We start from the raw sequence: 13,245 nt of genomic DNA, 5'->3' as shown, positions 1-13,245 counted from the left end.
TTTCAGCGTAAGGAGCAGATATGTTTTTAACCAGACACTTCTATTCCTTATTTAACTTTGACCAGGCATGGTGGCTCATGCCTATAATCCCAGTGCTTTGGGAGGCTGAGAAGGGAGGATTGCTTGAGCACAGGAGTTCAAGACCAGCCTATGCAACATAGCAAGCCCCATTCTACAAAAATTAAAAAAACAGCTAGGCATGGTGGCATGCACCTCTAGTCCCAGCTACTCAGGAGGCTGATGCAGGAGGATCATTTGAACCCAGGAGTTCGAGGTTACAGTGAGCTGTGATTACACCACTGCATTTTAGCCTGGGCAACAAAGCAAGACATTGTCTTAAAAAAAATTAAAACTGGCCGGGCGCGGTGGCTCACGCCTGTAATCCCAGCACTTTGGGAGGCCGAGGCGGGTGGATCACGAGGTCAGGAGATCGAGACCATCCCGGCTAAAACGGTGAAACCCCGTCTCTACTAAAAATACAAAAAATTAGCCGGGCGTAGTGGCGGGCGCCTGTAGTCCCAGCTACTTGGGAGGCTGAGGCAGGAGAATGGCGTGAACCCGGGAGGCGGAGCTTGCAGTGAGCCGAGATCCCGCCACTGCACTCCAGCCTGGGCGACAGAGCGAGACTCCGTCTCAAAAAAAAAAAAAAAAAAAAAAAAATTAAAACTGTATACACTTAGGCTCAAAAATCATGTGAAGCCTCCTGCCTCTTCTACCATACCTGCCCCACAAAACTGGCGGGGAAAACAATATGGAATATTATCTTACAATTCACTTAAATCCTCAAGTATGTTTCTGCCCTGTGGCCTTCAAATCTACAGTGCTCTGCTATTTGTGAAACTCATCTTCAAATTCTTCTGTTCTTATTAACTCAGCTATTATAATCGTTTCTTGTCCCGTACTTGTCCTGTCGTTGCTGTGGATATAAGCATTATTATCTGTATGACACATTTGAAAATTAAGTTAATGAAACCTATTTCCCATTTCCCATACTCTTCATTAACGCATGTGCTTTGATTAAAATGCTCTTTGAGTATTTTAAATAGGAACAAGCAGGGGTTTGGCAAGGGTTAAACTTTTGCTATTTTGATTACTCTTTGAAGTGATAAATTAAAGCTAAAAATAAACATGAAAAACACTGTAATTTATCTTCTTTAAAACTGCTGTCTTTAAAGTGATGGAAGAGCCTGAGGAATATGTTGTGGAAGAAAAGCTGCACATTATTTCTAAGAGAGTGGAAGCTGAGCCAGCTGAAGGTATGCTGACTCTTTAATTAGTTTTATCCCTATGTTAGCTTGTCTCCTTCTTTATGTTTCCTTATAGCTAATTTGTCATCCATATTGCAAATATTGATAAATATCATGTCTAATAAAAAGATCCCTTACACTTTTATCGAAAAGAAATCTAGACATTTCTACAAACATATTTTATAATCTTTTCAAGTGACAGAGAGGCAGGAGAAGAAAATTGTACTGAAACCAAAAATTCCTGCTAAAATAGAGGAGCCTCCACCGGCTAAAGGTATGATTTCTTTCAAAGAAATGCAACACTATTTATTTTAATGTATATAATAATACCTTCACATTTGCATAACTGTCTTATGCATAACAATTTGCATAACTGTCTACGTTTTGTCAGAACACATGTATGAACGTATTTACTGAGTATAGTCATTAACGTTTGTATATATGTGCAATCTTTTCAAAAAGTGAATGCTAAGCCCCACAACTGTGTCACTTCATATGTAAGGCAAACTCATATTCTTAAACCTAATCTTTCTAAAGTTCCTGAAGCACCTAAGAAAATTGTGCCAGAAAAGAAAGTTCCTGCTCCAGTTCCTAAAAAGGAAAAGGTGCCCCCACCTAAAGGTATATTGGATTTTATTTTATTCTCAAGACTGTCTTTTTTTAATCTTAAATTGATACATTCTTCAGATTTTTTAAACATTAACCAGAAAATAAGTGTGCCTGTGTTTAGTGTTTTCCATATCGTATGTTTGATGGTATTGCCTGGTATCTTTTAAGTGCCAGAAGAGCCAAAGAAACCAGTTCCAGAAAAAAAGGTTCCTCCAAAAGTCATTAAGATGGAAGAACCTCTCCCAGCCAAAGGTAAACAAACCTCCCCAGCAGAAAAACTAGGAACATATGGCTTGTCTTTCTTTCTCTCTGCTGCTGTTCTTTGGGTCATACTGTTTATATGTTGGTGGGTGACAATGGTGTCTTTGGGTAGAGTATTACTTGTGATGTTTTTGTGTGTGTGCCTTGTAAATTCTTCTATTCTAAAATCACAGTACTTTCTGGCTAGTATATTTTTTACGTCCACTTTGATATAACTCCCTAATCCTAAAATTATCTTTTAAGTGACTGAGAGGCACATGCAAATTACCCAGGAAGAAAAAGTTCTTGTTGCTGTAACTAAAAAAGAGGCGCCTCCAAAAGCAAGAGGTACATCCGCCCTTCCATTATGCACAATATTGTACTTGCCCTACTCTCTTTACCAAATACACTGGTTATGGGGGCTGGTTTTTGTTGTTGTTGTTGTTGTTGATGTTGTTGTTGTTGTTACAGTTGTTGTTTTATGTTTGAAATAATGAAAATGTCAAGTGTTTATGTTTGGGCTACTACTTTATGGCTGCCTTTTTGTGGTTTGAAAGAGGGAAACAATACTTTAAAGTGAAATCTCTCTTTAAAGTGCCAGAGGAACCGAAGAGAGCTGTCCCAGAAGAAAAAGTTCTGAAACTCAAACCTAAAAGAGAGGAGGAACCACCAGCTAAAGGTATACTGACTCTTAAAAAAAAAAAAAAAATCAAAATAAGCATCCAGACACTAAAACTAATCTAGTGGAATAGGTTCCATTAGAAAAAAAAAGACATAGTATAAAGTAAGCAATATAAGTTTGTTAATGCATATCACTTCAAAACTAAACATTTTTGATAACAGAAAGTACTTTTTTCTTAAAAAAAAGTGAGGCTTCTTCTAAACGTATGTGAATAATTTTCCTTAATCTGTATTTGTCTTCTAATGTCTTTTCCATATACTAAACTCATCTGCCTAGATGCTTGCTTTATGTGGCAATCTCTGATGAAATTTTTAATTTTTTCAATTCTGAATTTTCTACATTGTACCAATAGAGCTAAGGAAAATGTCTTAGAAGTGAGGTGAAGAAACTATTCATGTAACATAGGTTTCTGTCTAATGCTTCTACTTAGTTTGATAGTCATTATTTATGCTGTTTAGTTGTCTTTTTAAACTTTTATAAATACTACTTGATTTTCCTAAAATTATTCAATGTCTTTGACGTACTTCATATGTATATTAGAGTAAGTTTATTTCCAAGTCTATTGATTTTCTTGCTTTTTAAATGAAAGTTTAATCAGGCACTGTTATGGTTGTCTTTGTCCTTGAATTGTTTGAACAAAATTTCTCTTCACACACACATTTTCAGAATCTTGCAATTCACTTTTAATAATTACTCCTTTAAAGTGACTGAATTCAGAAAAAGAGTGGTTAAAGAAGAAAAAGTATCAATTGAAGCTCCAAAAAGAGAACCTCAACCCATCAAAGGTATATTGAACTTTGATTAAGTAATGTGAGGCATGAAACTATCTGGCTCTTTGCCTTCTAGTTCCCAATCTGACTCCTATACTTTATTAGCTTATTGTTGATTAAGGGCAGGGTATATAACATTTGAAATCACAATTGCTAAATATACTCTATGATACCTTGACTGGCCAAAAAAGAACAGTCAGGGTCTCCCATAATCAGTGCATGAAACAAACGCAAAAGAATAAAATCAAAGCACATTGTTACTATCAGTCATCCTTAAAAGTGCTTTAAAGTAAAGTGCTGCCTGTTGTTAATATTGTTTCAGAAGTAACTATAATGGAAGAGAAAGAAAGGGCTTATACCCTAGAAGAAGAAGCTGTTTCAGTACAACGGGAAGAAGAATATGAGGAATATGAAGAATATGATTATAAAGAATTTGAGGAGTATGAACCAACAGAAGAATATGACCAATATGAAGAATACGAGGAGCGGGAGTATGAACGATATGAAGAGCATGAAGAATACATCACAGGTATGAGCAAAACTGCAAACTCAAAACCACACTAAATATGTGCACACTCAAACAAGATAAAACAAGATAAATCATAACAAGATAAAAATTTGGATACCCAAAGAAATTTGGAAAGAACTTTGTTTCATTTCGCAAATGCGGAATTTTCTTCTTTGATAACTTCTAGAAAAAATTTTAAAAACCCTCTATAAATCTTAAGGTTATTGTTAGACTTTTGTTCCGGGAATAATCTAATACCCCCCTCATTTTTGCTCGTATGCAAAATAGCAAATGTCCCTAAGTTTCTTTTTCAAAAAGGTTACAAGTTTATCTTCAAGTGCCCGTGATCATTCTAGTACATGGTTAAAAATTTCTGAACATCCTTTATTCTAAAACTTGCTATTACGGAGTATGATAGGCTATTGAGAAAATGTATTTACCCACAGGGTTCCCATTATCAAAACTTGACAATGACTGCTTCAAAAGTTAAGATAGAGATGTAAGCTAACACAAGCTGTTGTGTTTTACCTAATGAAGGTCAAATTTGTTGGCATATAGTTTGGGCTTCAAATTGTTTATTTTACTCAAAGAATAAATCTCTATTGAAATTTTGAAATGAATCAATCTTATTTCACTTATTCAGTCTCTGATGTTTCATAGCCCAACTTTGAGAACATTCTACATAGTCTTACTGATAGCTTTAAAAAAACCATATTATAGGGGAGTTTCAGCCAGGAATTTATCTACCTGAAATGAAATGAGAATTTTAATATGTAAGAATTACCTAATTAAAGAAAATAGCAAGAAGGAAAGGGCAATATGAGCTTGTTCTGCTTGGATCTCTGATTCTTGCCTACTTCAATAGGCTATGGCTATACTGTAGATAAAAGATATTATTTCAATTATTTGATTCCTTTTAAGAAATGTTTAAACTTATATTCTAAGTCTAACATGAAATACCTTGTATGTACTTTTAAAGAACCAGAGAAGCCTATCCCTGTAAAGCCTGTCCCAGAAGAACCAGTTCCCACAAAACCAAAGGCCCCACCGGCTAAAGGTAGAGTGAAAAAAACATTATTACCTGTAAGAGATCTTTGTTTCCTCCATGTCTGTCCTACTATAAAAATATATGTAAAAGTGGCAGTGTACAAATTATGTGTGTGTTTGGGAATATTATGTTGTATTTGTCTTTCTTAACTTTTTGTTCTTGCTAGCCTTGAGAAACCTGTTTCAATTTTTAAAATCTCTTAATATTGATATTTTGAAGTGCTGAAGAAAGCTGTCCCTGAAGAAAAAGTACCAGTGCCCATTCCTAAGAAACTCAAACCTCCACCACCCAAAGGTACATTACTGAGTAATAATCACCAAAAACAACTTTGTTATGTATGTTCTAAAATCATGTCTTCCTAGCCCGTCTGATGGTCTGTGTTTTTGCTGAGTAGGATGTTCTTGTCCTGATTCTTACATTTCAGTTTTTTATGTGTATTTATTACATAGTATTCAAGGAGTTGGTTTTAATGCTCTTTAATAATTAATATCTTTAAAGTGCCTGAAGAACCAAAGAAAGTTTTTGAGGAAAAAATACGTATTTCAATTACCAAACGTGAAAAAGAGCAGGTGACTGAACCCGCTGCTAAAGGTATAATGATTTCCTTCCTCGATTGTGATCTTTTCTGATGCCTCTTTTGAAATTAATGTAACTATGATTCATTTCATTTTGTTGTTTCATGTCTTTTAAATTAGTTGTCAGCAGAATGTTGGATGTAAAAATGTGTAAATACAGGATAAGAAGATAATGCCTTTAAAAGGAAAAATTATTTCTAAATACATCCATAGCCTGTTAGCCAGTGGCTGTGTCCTGCCACATGGCTACAATACATATAAAATAGAATGTTTGGGTTTAAAATCAGTGACCGTTTGGCATATTCCTGATTTACCTAAATGATGTAATGATACCATAATATTCACCAAGCTTTGGTAACTGTTTATTCATTCTAAATTCATTTTGAAGATTTTTTTTAAAGCTAACCAGTTTCCAGTCATTTTCCCCCTGATTCATACTAAGTATGAAGTATACTAATTGAGAAGTAAATTTCACTTTTCAGGAAGGATATTTCTTTCAAGCAGAGATATTTGAACACTAAACCTCATTTCACATTTGGGCTCTGCTACTTCATGTTTACTTGGGTACTTCTGTGTACTTGTATTTATATGAAGCTCAGAATCCTTTCCACAGAGAGTATATAGTTTCTTAAAGATGAACAATCGCATATGTATCTCATTAAAGGAAGATACATTATTCTATCTGCTTAAAGTACAGCAAAACAAGCATTGGCTGGGTGGCCTTTTACTGACAATAAAATTTCCTTATACTTCATATTTCAAGTGCCCATGAAGCCCAAGAGGGTTGTCGCAGAAGAAAAAGTACCTGTCCCTAGAAAAGAAGTAGCACCACCTGTTAGAGGTACCTAATGGCACTCATTTTAATGTTTTGTTCGTCTTTTGCTGTTGAATTCCTCTTCAGTTCTGTGTGTGAAAACTTCTTTTGTGGGAAAAGTAAATCTTGTCCTTTCTTCTGTTATAAATGGGCCTGTGTTTCTAAGGTGTCTTAATTTTGTTGAGTCATTGGCAAATGTCCAACTTAAAGATAATATCTTTAAAGTGCCAGAAGTGCCTAAAGAACTTGAACCAGAAGAGGTTGCCTTTGAAGAGGAAGTTGTAACCCATGTAGAAGAATATCTTGTAGAAGAAGAAGAAGAGTACATTCATGAAGAAGAGGAGTTCATAACTGAGGAAGAAGTGGTGCCAGTGATACCAGTCAAAGGTAGATGATGCCTCCTGCAAAGGGCTGTGCAACAGCATCTTTGGAGTTTGGGGGTCTGATTTGGTCAGATTCTGGGGGTTATTGGCAGCACCAATGATTGCTTACTTTAAAGCAGATATTTTTAGATGCTGAAATATGATTTCTACAGGTGCTTTTCACATTTTATTTCTTTCCTGCAAAATTTCCAACATTCTTAATAATATCTTTAAAGTGCCTGAGGTACCCAGGAAACCTGTTCCAGAAGAGAAGAAACCTGTTCCTGTTCCCAAGAAGAAGGAAGCTCCACCGGCAAAAGGTACACCACCATTCATTGACGGGTATCTAAGAGACTTCATCTGCCTAGAAATAGTTAACTTTCTTCTGAGTTCAAAACCTTGTGTGTGTGTCACTGTCCGTTGTTAAAAAACATTAGCTGTGTTTTATATGGATGTGTTGTTACTAGTAGTTAGAACTTAACAATAAACAATATCTTTAAAGTGCCTGAGGTTCCTAAGAAGCCAGAGGAGAAAGTTCCTGTGCTTATTCCTAAAAAGGAGAAGCCTCCGCCAGCAAAAGGTACATCCTTATAATCCATCAGTGGAATAGCATGATAATTCACCCATGCAGCATAACTTGGTGAGCCATAGCAGATCTTTCCCCATGACAATATTAACAACATTAATGCCATGACAAGCGCCTCTCAACTGGCCACAGGAGCAGTTTACCCGGTATTCATCTCTGAATTTTACCATCAAATTATGCTTATGCTCAATGGTTGGCTCCTCCTCTTTAGTGGAAAGTTCTTCAAGTAAAATACATTCCTTTTGCATATCAAAATGGACAAAACCATCATTTACCAGGCATTGTGTCTTGTCTTTATCACCAGTCCACGTTTTTTTCGGTGTTTTTTATTTTAATTTTTGTGTATTTTCTGGCCTTTGTTTTGTGGCTATTATAATTTTCAGTCTTAAAGTGAAATTGATAGAATATCTATGCTGCTTCAGTTAAGGCCTTACATTGCCAGCCTTAAAATCTTAGCTATGGGTAAAAAATGTGACACTAACTCTATTTGATATCTTTGAAGTTCCTGAAGTGCCCAAGAAACCTGTGCCAGAGGAGAAAGTACCAGTACCAGTTCCTAAAAAGGTGGAAGCTCCACCTGCCAAAGGTACATGAACTTGCAATGTTGCAATATTTTTATTTCACATTTGCATATGGGTAAAAATTAATTGGTTTAATTCTGTACTCTTTGGGATGCAACTCTTTAGAGAAAATTAAATATTTTATTTTAAAAATAAAATGCTTCTTGGAATACCTTTGTCATACTTTTATTACCTTATCTTAATCTTTTGAAACTATGCTTGGAATCAGTATTTTTATGTCGTATAAAATTTTTCTCTAAATCATTTCGTTAAAGTGCCAGAGGTACCCAAGAAGCCTGTGCCTGAGAAGAAGGTGCCAGTTCCTGCTCCTAAGAAAGTGGAGGCTCCACCTGCAAAAGGTACATAATTTCATCACTTAGAGTACTTGGGGGAAAAAACTCACATCTATGTATACTCACATACAAATTTCCCCATTACATTGTACATTTTTAAAGTGTCTATCTGGTTAGAAATATGTCAGATATTTTGTGATTCTTTTTCATATCTATTGCTCTAAGACATTTTAAAAGAACATATTCCTAAATATAAATAATATCTTTAAAGTGCCAGAGGTGCCCAAGAAGCTCATCCCAGAAGAAAAGAAACCAACACCTGTTCCGAAAAAAGTGGAAGCACCACCACCCAAAGGTACATTAATCTGTAACAGAGCCATGGTAAAAGACAAAACTAACTGGTGTTATACAGCCTTACTAATTATAATTAATGCTTAGTATTTATGTTGATAATAATTGATGCTTTGTGATCACAGAATATTTGCCTTTCATAAGCTTCTTCATTGTTGTGAATATTTTACATAAAAGTGATGTTTGTACCCTTGAATAAATATCTTTAAAGTGCCAAAGAAACGTGAACCAGTTCCAGTTCCTGTAGCTCTACCTCAGGAAGAGGAAGTTCTATTTGAAGAAGAAATTGTTCCTGAAGAGGAAGTTCTACCTGAGGAAGAGGAAGTTCTACCTGAGGAAGAGGAAGTTCTACCTGAAGAAGAGGAAGTTCTACCTGAAGAAGAGGAAATTCCACCTGAGGAAGAGGAAGTTCCTCCCGAAGAAGAATATGTACCTGAGGAAGAAGAATTTGTACCTGAAGAAGAAGTCCTTCCAGAAGTTAAACCTAAGGTGCCAGTACCTGCACCAGGTATAGCAGCTCTTCTTGGAATCATCAAGGCCTCTTTTGTGTTGAATTCTGCTTTCCCATCCTTTTGTTCATCTCCAGTTTTATCTATAATCCTTTACCCTCTGTGATTGACCACCTAAATCTTAGAAAACATTCCAGACATGTGTGTTCTTATTGTGTATCTGCCTTGTGTATCTGTCTATTGTAAATTATCTAAATGTCTTTTCAAATCACATATTATGTTTACATGTTTGTGGTCTTATCCTCACGTGTCTCTTTCATATATATATATATATATATATATATGACCATGTATATGTGGTTTTTAATGCCTTCAAATGAAATGTTTTTAAGTGCCTGAAGTGCCAAAGAAACCTGTACCAGAGAAGAAAGTCCCTGTTCCCGCCCCTAAAAAAGTGGAACCTCCACCACCACCCAAAGGTACACCTCCCCAAAGTGAATACACATTGTTCACCCATAGCTTGGTCACATAAATTATGATGAAACTGGGTTTTAGGAAAATTATATTTACAAAATGGATAATCACACAGTTACATATTTACTTCTAACGATGTTCAGGAACACTGATATCTACTTTTTTCACTGATACAAAGCAGTATTCAAGAACAAAGATGAAAGGAAGCATTGTCCCAGAACTGATACAAAAGTTCTGATTTCATATCATTTGATTAAACATCATAGTTTTCATGGAGATATATTTAAATATATATGAATAAGTATACTATATATTTAAATGTATTGAAAACTATTATGAATAAATATTCTTAAATTTCTTCCTTCAACCATTTATATTAAATGCCTTTTTAACACCAGGCTAAAAAGAAAAAAAGATGAATGTATTTATCAAAACACAGAATAATAGTTATGTCTTCTAATACATATATATAAAGGGCAGCCCAACAGGTTTTGATTTTAGCGTTGACTTTACACCTTGTTGTATTACTCTCAGCGAGTCCTTTAACCAACCTGAGCCTGAAGTTATTTTCCTGTAAATTGGGGATGCTAATATCAGTCTTAATGGGCTCAGCTATTATGGTGAGAATTAAATAAAGTAAGGTATTAAAGTAGTCTATCATTGAATGAATAGTATCCAGATTTAACATATTCAATCAGCTCATAGTACAGGACAGAATTAATATATTTGTGCTTTAAAGCTCAATAATATTTTCTACAAAAGATGCTGGCATGGCTGCTTAAAATCAGCATAACCCTCGCATCAGGCCATATAGTTATATAATCAAATGAAATAGTAAAGCTGATCTTTTATTGGATATCAACGATTCAGAAATACTTTCTAGACAATAAATTACTAGTGAAATTTAAATGTATGAAATGATATTAGGTTGGTGCAAAAGTAATTGCGGTTTTTAGCATTAAAAGTAATGTCAAAACCGCAATTATTTTTGCACCACCCTAATAGCATCTGTCCTCTGATAATGACATATGCTGCTGGTCCCTTGCTTTACAAATCCCAATTACATTATAATATCTGGGCTCCCAACTAACATGACAGACCTGTCTTGAGCGACTGTTAACACATTGGTCTTTCTGGGTGTGGGGTCTTCTTGGTTTCTCTTTTTTTGTCCTTCAAAATAAATCCTTATCATGAAATGATGTCTTTAAAGTGCCTGAAATTAAGAAGAAAGTGACAGAGAAGAAAGTGGTCATTCCCAAGAAAGAGGAGGCTCCCCCTGCCAAAGGTATTGCTATTCCGAAGTAAATTAGACTATGCCATTTCCTTCCTTCTCCTATAAAAGTCAAAATGTCCTGTTTCCGTATTTGTTAATACAACTTATATTACTGCTGTGTCTACTTGTCTTTGTGTGTGTGAAACTGAACTTATAAAATAAAATAATATTTTTAAAGTGTCTGTGGTACCTAAGAAACCTGAGCCAGAAAAGAAGGTCCCTCCTCCTGGTCTTAAGAAAGCAGTGGCCCCTCCTGCCAAAGGTACATCATCCCATAACAGGGATATGTTTGCTGCACCGATGTTGAACTGTGGTTCTATCCACACAGGACACTCAACATAAATGTGTGCATTGTATGGTCTGTCATTCACATTCGTCATTTCTGACTCTTTTGCACCCAAGTTTGTGTTGTGTCCATTTTTTCACTTGGTGTTGGTGTGCTTTACATCGTTTCTCTATGTATGTTGTTTCTAAAAAATAAAAATATATCTTTAAAGAGCCAAAAATAACTAAGGAACTAGTCCCTGAAATACCCATTTCTTCATACCCATTTCTTCCTACAAAAAAAAAAAAGACAAAAGAAAAAAGAAATAGAGGCTCCAGCAGTAAAAAGTAGAATTTCTCTTTAATAAACCCTAAATCTTAAACCACAAACCTTTTTATTCTTTTCTCATTAACCGATTCTGTGAAATGTCAATGTTTCATCTTGTGTATGTGCCTTGTGATATTTACTCTCTTATGTTGGAAACTGGAAACGTGGTCTTTATTCTTCTTTGGTTCTTGCATTTTAAGTGTCTAAAATAATCAATGTCTCTCAAGTTCCTGAGGTGCCTAAGAAGGTGGAAGAAAAACGAATCATTCTCCCTAAAGAAGAGGAAGTTCTACCAGTTGAAGGTAGATAACTTTCTAAGAAAATAACATTTCAAAGTCATCCTTGTCTTATTATTGTCTAATATTTGAAGTAGGTAAATGTAAAATTTACCCCAGGAAATCAACATATTCAGATTCTAAAATAAATTATTATTAACCTAATAGAAATTGGGCAGGCAAATTAATATTATTTGAATCTCTTTGCATGTTCAGCCTGTTTGTCTGTTTGCTATTTGTTTTATTTTAATTAGAATTCATGAAGGGAAACTGTATTTGCTGTGGGAAATTTTTCATCAAATGACTTAGTAGGCAACTGTAAAATAAGCTTATCCAAGAGAAATTCCAGTTAAGCCTGAGTAACTGGTGCAGAAAATCTGATTTCTACCCCAAGTGGCTGTTTGACTTCAAACAAGTCTTTCATTAAAAAAAAAACAATAATAATTTTTTTATTATTATAAATTATCTGAAGTCCTTTCCAGTTCACAAATGCTGGGATATGCCTAACATATTTTGAAGACCCAGTAGAGATTTTTTAAGGACTAGTGAGTTTACACAAGCGTTTCGAAGGCTGAGCAGTTTTCAGATATTATCACTGTAGTCTAATATTCAAAATAATTATAAAAATAATTTACAAAATAATAATCTTTTTAAAGTGACTGAGGAGCCTGAAGAAGAGCCTATTTCAGAAGAAGAAATCCCAGAAGAACCACCTAGCATAGAGGAAGTTGAAGAGGTGGCACCACCTAGAGGTATAACCGCTTTTAAGGATTGAACATTTAAAATTCCTGGTGTTCCAAATCTTTCTCAGTAGCTAAATCTAAGATTCACCAGTATGCTTTTCTTATATCGTATCCATGATAAAGTGAAGATTAATTATTCCTGGCACCTGAATCTATGTGTCCTTTTTTTACCCTAAATTTTTCTACAACATCTGCAATACAACTAAGAATGAGAGATTACTATTTTGTTATTGGCGATTGAATTTTTTTCTGACCAGGCCCTACTATAATAGTTTCTCCTAGATTTCAATCCTTAATTTTGTTTTTAATATTAATATGGGGGGAATCTATTTCTCTGGTGAAAGTGTTCATTTTTTAAGAAAAATCTTTAATTTACTATTCCTGAAGAGTGTGATAATATTTTGCATAATTGGTATTACATTTGCTTATAGGATTTCTAAGTAATATCCTTTACACCTCTAGGGTTCCTACTCCACATTTATTATTACCATTTAGGTTGCTAATATCTTTTAAAAATAAGTCAATGTTTTGTGATATTTATTTATTGGTATATGGGTGGTGTTCTGCTCATCACATGCCACTTTTCAAAATGTTCATAAAATTTCTTTTAAGTGCCTGAAGTGATTAAGAAAGCAGTACCTGAAGCACCTACTCCTGTTCCTAAAAAAGTGGAGGCACCACCAGCTAAAGGTATATCAAATCCTCATTATTAATATCTTTAACTTCCCATTAATTTTCTTTCTTAAAAGCAACATTTTCTTTTTTGACTGCCTTCTTATAATCATTTAGATAGT

At 34.8% G+C, this 13,245-nt stretch overlaps 1 protein-coding gene and 1 long non-coding RNA gene across 21 annotated transcripts in view; one reads left to right on the top strand and one right to left on the bottom strand.

Annotated features, from left to right (window-relative positions):
* Nucleotides 1-13,245, top strand: part of TTN (titin) — a 281,435-nt gene that overhangs the window by 120,650 nt on the left and 147,540 nt on the right. For 4 of the 20 annotated variants that reach the window (NM_133378.4, XM_017004821.1, NM_001256850.1 and 1 more), the window contains 23 exons: nucleotides 1,176-1,256; nucleotides 1,444-1,521; nucleotides 1,785-1,868; nucleotides 2,025-2,108; nucleotides 2,361-2,444; nucleotides 2,692-2,775; nucleotides 3,483-3,563; nucleotides 3,871-4,077; nucleotides 5,036-5,113; nucleotides 5,324-5,398; nucleotides 5,603-5,695; nucleotides 6,443-6,520; nucleotides 6,719-6,880; nucleotides 7,092-7,175; nucleotides 7,358-7,435; nucleotides 7,944-8,027; nucleotides 8,277-8,360; nucleotides 8,566-8,649; nucleotides 8,857-9,153; nucleotides 10,779-10,853; nucleotides 11,661-11,735; nucleotides 12,365-12,460; nucleotides 13,064-13,141. The exons of 5 other annotated variants lie outside the window; for them this stretch is intronic. In NM_133378.4, coding sequence (NP_596869.4) covers nucleotides 1,176-1,256; nucleotides 1,444-1,521; nucleotides 1,785-1,868; nucleotides 2,025-2,108; nucleotides 2,361-2,444; nucleotides 2,692-2,775; nucleotides 3,483-3,563; nucleotides 3,871-4,077; nucleotides 5,036-5,113; nucleotides 5,324-5,398; nucleotides 5,603-5,695; nucleotides 6,443-6,520; nucleotides 6,719-6,880; nucleotides 7,092-7,175; nucleotides 7,358-7,435; nucleotides 7,944-8,027; nucleotides 8,277-8,360; nucleotides 8,566-8,649; nucleotides 8,857-9,153; nucleotides 10,779-10,853; nucleotides 11,661-11,735; nucleotides 12,365-12,460; nucleotides 13,064-13,141 — 2,304 coding nt within the window. Of the gene's footprint in view, nucleotides 1-1,175; nucleotides 1,257-1,443; nucleotides 1,522-1,784; nucleotides 1,869-2,024; nucleotides 2,109-2,360; nucleotides 2,445-2,691; nucleotides 2,776-3,482; nucleotides 3,564-3,870; nucleotides 4,078-5,035; nucleotides 5,114-5,323; nucleotides 5,399-5,602; nucleotides 5,696-6,442; nucleotides 6,521-6,718; nucleotides 6,881-7,091; nucleotides 7,176-7,357; nucleotides 7,436-7,943; nucleotides 8,028-8,276; nucleotides 8,361-8,565; nucleotides 8,650-8,856; nucleotides 9,154-9,486; nucleotides 9,574-10,778; nucleotides 10,854-11,019; nucleotides 11,104-11,660; nucleotides 11,736-12,364; nucleotides 12,461-13,063; nucleotides 13,142-13,245 lie in introns of all 20 variants that reach the window. 11 more of the 20 variants (XM_024453095.1, XM_047445660.1, XM_047445661.1 and 8 more) reach the window with 7 other exon arrangements.
* The window catches only part of LOC124906100 (uncharacterized), a 71,929-nt gene that overhangs the window by 27,472 nt on the left and 31,212 nt on the right, over nucleotides 1-13,245 (bottom strand). The window lies entirely within an intron of this gene.

Source organism: Homo sapiens, chromosome 2, assembly GCF_000001405.40.
Source record: "Homo sapiens chromosome 2, GRCh38.p14 Primary Assembly".
NCBI classification, from domain to species: Eukaryota; Metazoa; Chordata; class Mammalia; order Primates; family Hominidae; genus Homo; species Homo sapiens.
This window is presented reverse-complemented; position numbering and strand designations above follow the sequence as displayed.